Raw genomic sequence first — 8,381 nt, 5'->3', positions numbered from 1 at the left:
CAGAGCGAAACTCCGTCTCAAAAAAAAAAATGGACTTGCAGTTTACTTGCATTTAAGGATAAGTATATATAACATATTAGCAATGACACTGAGTAGAGTTTGGGATTCTTTTCTAATTCTGCATATTGACTCAGTGAGACTAGTGAAGTGTCTCTGTTCAGGTACAGCACGATTAATTTTCTTCATCTGTTGTCAGTCTAACATGCACATCCTCTTCTTTATACCCCTGGCTCTTCTATATTGGGATAATTACATCTCTACTAAAAATACAAAAATTAGCCGGGCATGGTGGCGCCCGCCTGTAATCCCAGCTACTTGGGAGGCCAAGGCAGGAGAATCACCTGAACCTGGGAGGTAGAGGTTGCAGTGAGCCGAGATCGCGCCACTGCATTCCACCCTGGGTGACTGAGCCAGACTCCATCTCGAAAAAAAGAAAGATAATTATTTCTTTATATCAAATTCCATGTTACTAATAGTAGAAAAAAATCTGTTTATATCTACAGTTGCTTTTCAGATTTTAATATAGAGTCTTCATAAACTGTACGTAGTTAAATATGAAGGCTGTTTCACTCCTTGCTGTCGACTAAATGGCTACTGCTAGTATTTATTATACAGGGACTGGCTTCTGTCTCTATTTGAGCAGCCCGGCAACTTTCTGTCTTCTCTGAGTGCTGTTTGTCTGCCGCTTCTGTGTTCTGCCAGAGCCGTCGCCGTTGCAAGGAGCCGGTGTATATTCTACTGCTTTTTGGCTGGGAGAATAAATTCCAGCTTAGGTCCAAGTTGAAAACGAATCCCCTAGTAGGCAAAAACATGGACTCTAGTATACTTCCTGTGCACCCCCTTTGGCCTCAGCAGCCTGGAGTTTTACAGTGGAACCATTTCATGCTTAATAACATGTTCTACACAAGGCACCATGGGAAACACAAAGGCATGGGCCGTACTGTCTGCATTGAGAAATGCAAACTCTTGCATGGGAGACAAGATTTGTATGTTCACGGAAACACGCACGCATGTGCATGCACACACACAAAGGCACACACCTTGAAACTAATGCGACAGTGTACTGAGAAATAATAAATGCATGATACTGGTAGTTTATTGATGAGAAGAAATCAAGGTAAGTTCAATTAGTCAAGAAAGACTTCATAAAAATCTAACTTGAATGGCGCTCCGGAGGCCAGGAAGGACTTGAAAAGTTAGTGTGAAGTCTGGGCTGGCCAAAGGAAAGCTTCTCCAAGTGAGCTGAGCCCCAATATCAATTTAGTTAAAAAACCTGGTCCAACAATTGCTTGTCATAATGTAGGCCACATGTGTATAGACCGAATTCTTCCCGTTTTAATTGCTTATTTTGGCTCTATAAAATCCCAGCCTATATCTTTTTGGCTTTCATTTGGTAATGCATATTTAAACAAGTTTCTAATGTTGCATTTGTTGAAATCCAGCAGAACAGTGGCTTGTATTTTAAACCTGATTGTCCTTGTGTGAAAAACCACTGAAGTTTTTGAAAAGCTATAAGCGTGCTGTTCTCTTGGTTTATTAACTGATCTGTTTGTTAGAAACCTTTATTATAAATCCAGTCATTCTGCAAATATTTCTCTAATGCTTTTAAAATAAATAAAACCCAAACTTTGCCTTTAAGCAGCAATAAAATCAGGAGTGCATCAAAGCAAGAAATTCAAAGTACAGCTCAATGTGGCTGCGAGAGAGCTCCCCTGTTCAAAGACATTGGAAAATGATCCTGGAAAGGTGTAATATTTATATGTGAAGTCTATCTTACCGCAGCTTTAGATCATATTTGAGAAAGAAAAATTTCCAGCCAGTGACTGGAATATGTTCATTGGCTTCATTTGTTACTTGGACTTATTTATAAATATACAAATTTATATATTATGCATTATACTATACTTTAAAAAGTGAGAGTATCTCAAGAGTTTGTGTTATAGTAATATATATCAAACAAATACAAGGTAAACAATTTACTTAAATAGAAGTGTTCTACTTGTGAAGTCTAAAAGAAATACTTTGTACTTCATAATTTTGAAGCAACAGCCTGATCTTATTTGGCCAGATGCCTTTAACAAAACAGCCTGGTGAGAGGGGTGAAGGGTGAACTTGTTACTCACTGAATCTAGAAATGACAAATTATTCATCATACTGAAGGAAATATCACACAAACCCATAATATAAGTTTATTTTACTCATTAAATCCTGATTTCTGCGTCAGCTTCTTCTATTTTTCTTACAGATGCAAAACTGTAAATGAGTCATAGTAGGACGCTTCCCGTGAGAATTATTTTTCTCAGGAAGAATGAAGGAAGTATAGTCTTACGCTTTCCTTCTGAAGTTCACAAAGCTTTTGACTAAGATACTCGTAGTGAATAAGCTATTTTTCATTGTCTCTAATTTAAGACATTTGTTTTTTTAAAACGTATTTTCCAGAAAACGTTCGTTGTATTGCTGCCTGTATCTAATCACACAATATAAAGTTAGAAACAAGGTAAAGCAAATTTAACTATCTTTTCTTTTTCTTCCTTCCACAGTTGCACATTTTATGTATAAAGAGAATTTGTAATGATCTCATTCACCTAATTGGATTTAATTTTAGCAAAGTGAAATATTGTCTTTGGACATGATGAGCACTCAAACACAAAAAGTTTTCTATGTTTTGTAATTGTAAATCCTCATAATCTGTAATATCTTGAAAAGAACTGAGCCAAATAATTGGTCTAAAATTTGAGTTCACAATGTTGAGATGACCAAAGCTGGCAAGTATAATAAGTTGCCTAATACATCTGGCTATCTTTCAAAGACACACAAAAATATATAGTCACAACTTTTTTTAAAATAAAGTAAGTTAACTAATGGACCCACTCTTTAAAAAAAAAATTTTTAAGACGAGTACTTGTATCCGCTTTATATTATAGCCCATGCATACGAATTACATGATTTTTACCAAGATACTCTAAAGATACTACTTAATTATAGAGTGGAGAGCAAATGGCAATGTTTATGTCATAATTACCAAATGAAATGCAATTATAAATTTTGTGAGAAGGATTGAATATTGGCCACTGAACCATATAGCTATACAGTATTAGACTGAGTTCTAACAACAAGACGGTTTGATCAGCGGTCCCATTTATGTGCTCAACAACATGAGCATATCAAGATCAAGGCCTCTACCTTTCTGGATTCTCAGTAAGTAAGCCCACCTATTCACAGCTTTCCTTGATTTAGAAAAAGTGTAAGGTCATTCTTATGTTAATATCATTAAATATATGTACTCAATATTCTTCCCTTACAAAAATAAAATTCTCAATCAGCTGCTGAAATTGAGACCTGTAAGTCTTTCCATAGCTTCTACACATTATTGGCATAAAACTTCACTCGAAACAGTAACATCTTCTTTCATTATTTTTATTTTTTTGTTATTTTTAATTTCAACTTTTATTTTAGAATCAGGGGTTACATGTGTAGGTTTGTTATATGGGTATATTACATGATGCTGAGGTGTGGGGTATGATCAATCCTATTACCCAGGTAGTGAGTATAGTACCCACTAGTTTTTGAACCATTGTCCCCTATCTCCCCACCCCCATAGTAGTCCCTAGTCTCTATTGTTCCCATCTTCATGTCCAGAGTACCTATGTTTAGCTCCCATTTATAAGTGAGAAGGTGCAATACTTGTTTTCCTGTTTCTGTGTTAATTCACTTAGAATAATGGCCTCCACCTGCATCCATGTTGCCACAAAGGACACTATTTCATTCTTTTGTATGGCTGCATAGTATTACATTATTTATATGTACAACATTTACTTCATCCAGTCCGCCATTAACGGACACCTAAATTGATGCCATGTTTTTGCTATTGTGAATAGCACTGACATAAACATACAAGTGCATGTATCTTTTTGGTAGAGTGATTTATTTTCTTTTGAATATATACCCAGTAATGAGATTGTTAGGTTGAATGGTAGTTCTATTTTAAGTGTTTTGATAAATCTCCAAACTGCTTTCCACAGGGACTAAATTTATCTACATTCCCACTAACAGTGTACAAGCTGCTATACACTTACACACTTTTCTCTGAAGGCTCACCAATATCTGTTGTTTTTTGACTTTTTAATAATAACCATTCTGACTTGTGTGACATGATATCTCATTGTGGTTTTGATATGCATTCTTTGATGATAGTGATGTTGAGCATTTTTTTCATATATTTGTTGGATGGTTGGACGTCTTCTTTTGAGAAGTGTCTGTTCATGTCTTTTGCCCACTTTTTAATAGGATTACTTGATTTTCACCTGTTGAATTGGTTAAGCTTCTTATAGATTCTGAATATTAGACTTTTGTCAGATGCATAGTTTATGAAAATTACCTCCCATTCTGTAAGTTGTCTGTTCACTCTGTTGATAGTTTCCTTTGCTGTGTGGAAGTTTTTGGTTTAATTAAAAGTCCCACTTGTCAATTTTTGTTTTTGTTGCATCTGCTTTTGAGGACTTACTCATAAATTGTTTCCTGAGGACAATGCCCAGAATGGTGTTTCCTAGGTTTTCTCCTATGAATCTTATCATTTGAGGTTTTACATTTAAACTTTTAATCGATCTTCAGTTAATTTTTGTATATGGTGAGAGGTAGGGTCCAGTTTCAATCTTCTGCATATGGCTAGCCAGTTATTCCAGCACCATTTATTGAACAGAGAGTCCTTTCCCCATTGCTTATTTTCATTGATTTTGTTGAAGATCAGATGGTTGTAGGTGTGCAGCTTTATTTCTGGGTTCTGTATTCTGTTCCATCAGACTATGTGTCTGTTTTTGTACCAGTGCCATGATGTTTTGATTACTGTAGCCTTATATTACAGTTTAAAGTCATATACTGTGATGTCTCCAGCTTTGTTCTTTTGGCTTAGAATTGCTTGGCTATTTGGGATCTTTTTTTGGTTCCATATGAATTTCAAAATAGTTTTTTCTAATTCTGTGAAAAATGACCTTGGTAGTTTGAAAGGAATAGTGCTGAATCTGTAGATTGCTTTGACCAATACGATCATTTTAACAATATTGATCCTTGCAATCTATGAGCATGGAATGTTATTCTATTTGTTTGTATAATCTGTGATTTATTTCAGCAGTATGAAACAGTAACATCTTTTCTGCTCAATTATATCCTTTATTTCTAGGAAATTTTCAATTTTCAAAAGAACAACCTTCATAAGACCTTATCTAAGGTTGTATCTTTGTGTGCTAATAAACTACTAGAGTGATTAACATATAATAAATATTGTTAAAAGGCAATATTTTTAAAATAGAAAATCATAATTTATACAAATATATAATGAAAACACATCATTTGAATTCATAATTTAGTGCGGGAAACAGTAAGATGTTAAAATTAATTCAAAGGAGGAATTAAACAACCATATTTACAGAGCCAGTAAAGAATGCTGAAATTAGTTTACAAATAAATACAAAAATGGTATATGCAGAGAGTAAGAATAAACTGCATTCTACCAGACATATTTCACTTGCATTTCTATGGATAAGAATCACCTGCATTATTATCAGTTTTCCAGAGCTTATAGACTTGTAAAATAGTTCAAAACTATTAACAGGTGGTAATAACTAGGAAGGTTGTGGTACCCAGTGTGGCAGGCAGAATTCTAAGATGGCTCTCATGATTTCCAACCCCAATGTTATTCCCATGATTCTGTTATGTTACATGGCAATCAGGATTTTGCAGAGGTAATTAAGGTCACTCATCAGTCAATCTTATCATAGGAAGATTATCCAGATGGATTTAGCTTAGTCACATGAGCCCTCTAAGAGCAGAGGTTTTTCTCTAGTTAGAAGCAAAAGGGAAGTCAGAGATTTGAAATATAAAAAGGATTTGACATGCCATTGCTGGTTTGAAGATGGACAAGGCCATGGGAAAAAGATCTGAGCATGTCCTTTAGTTGTTAAAAATGATCTCCAGCCACTAGCCAGAAAAAAAAAAAAAATGAGGACCTCACTTATGCAACTGCAAGGAGTTGGATTCTACCAATAACCCAAATAAACTTGGAAGAGGACTTTCTCCCAGAGTTTTTAGATGAGTATTCAGGCCAATTAACACATAATGATAGCCTTGTGATACCCTGAACAGAAAGTCCAGTCCCACTGTGCTGTATGCCAGACTTACAGAACTATAAGCTAATATAAGAATATTGTTTTAAGCTGCTAAGTTTGTGGTACTATGTTATGCAGCAATAGAAAATTAATACACAATCAATTCTCTGCTATTTCACAAATACTTATGAAAATATTAATAAGTATGAAATGTATACACAGAAAACAATCATTGATAACTTAGAGAATATCCCCTTGAAATTGGCATTTAGTTTTTTAAAATCAGAAAATGTAAAGATTTACACATAGGTCATATTTGAGAGATAAGGTGAAAGTGGAAAAAATCTCTAATTTCATTAGATTTACTCAATATGGAATACACAAAAGGAGTCATAGGCAGTGTCCACATACCTCTTTACTCCCTGACCATGGTTTGAAACTTAATAAGCACCGATTTAAGAATAGCTGACTATCAGTTTTTCTAAACAGTGCCCTACATTGATAAATACTTTTCTTTATAAAAGAAAAGCACTTGTGAACATATTGACTGCAGTCCTCTCCTGGAGAGAAGGCAGCTTACTTTCTGTCACCTGCAGAGGCATTGGAATGAAAGCATAATCATTTGTATTGAGATTCTAAATCAAATGTGCCAGGTTTGAGAGTTTTTACTCCCGATTGGCTAGCCTTTGGAAACAGGAAAACAGAAAGAGGAAATGTCCACGTTTGAGCTGGCATGGGCCATGCAATCTTCATCCAGCACTGACAAGTCCCTGCTGTTGGAATCCTGCAGCAGTTGTGCTGTTTGTCTGTGGGTATTACCAAAGGCCAAGGAAGTGTGCCGTATGCATAGGGAATATTAAATAACTAGAGAAAAGATTAAAATTTTACAAACACACATCTACACCTTCTTAAACATCAATGTGTCTTCTGAAGCTATGGTATACTACTTTTTTTTAATCAAGTGGATATTTTATGTTCATCTTTAAATTTTTGTTATAATACGTTGGGGACTTACGCGGCATCTTTTAAAGATGTTTACCTATCTAATTTTCTTTTAGTTAGACAGAATTAAATAAAACTGAAACACATTTTACTAACTGATTAAAGCTTCTTTCTATCGCTCCTCCTCCATCACCAACTCTTTTGTTAATGTCTGGAAACATCACTTTTAATGTCTTTCATCAGCATGAAACAATGTATACAAGTAAGCATTTGGTATCTCGACACAGCAATTTAAGCCTTCCACAACAAACTTACTTTTTAACGGCATGTTTTACTATACTATACTATAGTTGATACATGGAACCATGCCCAATTACAGACACTATATATACACCAGTGCTTCTTACTTTGTGCAACTGTATTCAAGAGAAGCTATGTATGTAAATCATTTATACACATTTATAAAATTGAAACGTTTAGAAATCTACTAGGGGGGCTGGGCACGGTGGCTCACGCCTGTAATCCCAGCACTTTGGGAGGCCAAGGCGGGTGGATCACCTGAGGTCAGGAGTTCAAGACCAGCCTGGCCAACATGGTGAAACTATAAAAAGTAGCCGGGCATGATGACGCATGCCTGTAATCCCAGTTACTCAGGAGGCTGAGGCAGGAGGATCACTTGAACCCGGGAGGTGGAGGTTGCAGTGAGCTGAAGGTTGCAGTGAGCCAAGATTGCACCATTGCACTCCAGCCTGGACGCCTCACCGAGATTCTGTCTCAAAAAAATAAATAAATAAAATCCACTAGGGGATATTTCTGTTTCAGGAAACTCTGTATCGATCCATTTTATAGTACAAATAGTCATTTCTAGATATTATCTCCTTCGAACATGTTGTGCCTAGCATATAATAAGCATTAAATTAGTAGAGAGAGGCAAAATCAAAGACAAAGGCAAAATTAAGACACAGGACTTTGAAAGCAGAAAGATGTTTTAGTTTTGTACTCTAATTGGTGTTTAGAAAATATTATACTCAATAATATTAGCATGGTGAATTATTTCTATTCATTATTCAAGGTTATCACTATATATATGGTGATATACATTTTATATATATATAACATATATAGCATGTGAATATATGCACATATAAATTTATATATAAACAATTTTATATATTATTGTATATAATATATAATATAGTAGAATATATTATATATGTACTATATCATGTGTGGGTATACTGTATATATTATACTATATATCATAGTATAATATATATTACACTATATAATTATATATAATATATAATTATATATTATAGTATATAATGTACTATATAT

The sequence above is a fragment of the Homo sapiens genome, chromosome 12 (assembly GCF_000001405.40).
Source record: "Homo sapiens chromosome 12, GRCh38.p14 Primary Assembly".
In the NCBI taxonomy this organism is placed as follows: domain Eukaryota; kingdom Metazoa; phylum Chordata; class Mammalia; order Primates; family Hominidae; genus Homo; species Homo sapiens.
This window is presented reverse-complemented; position numbering follows the sequence as displayed.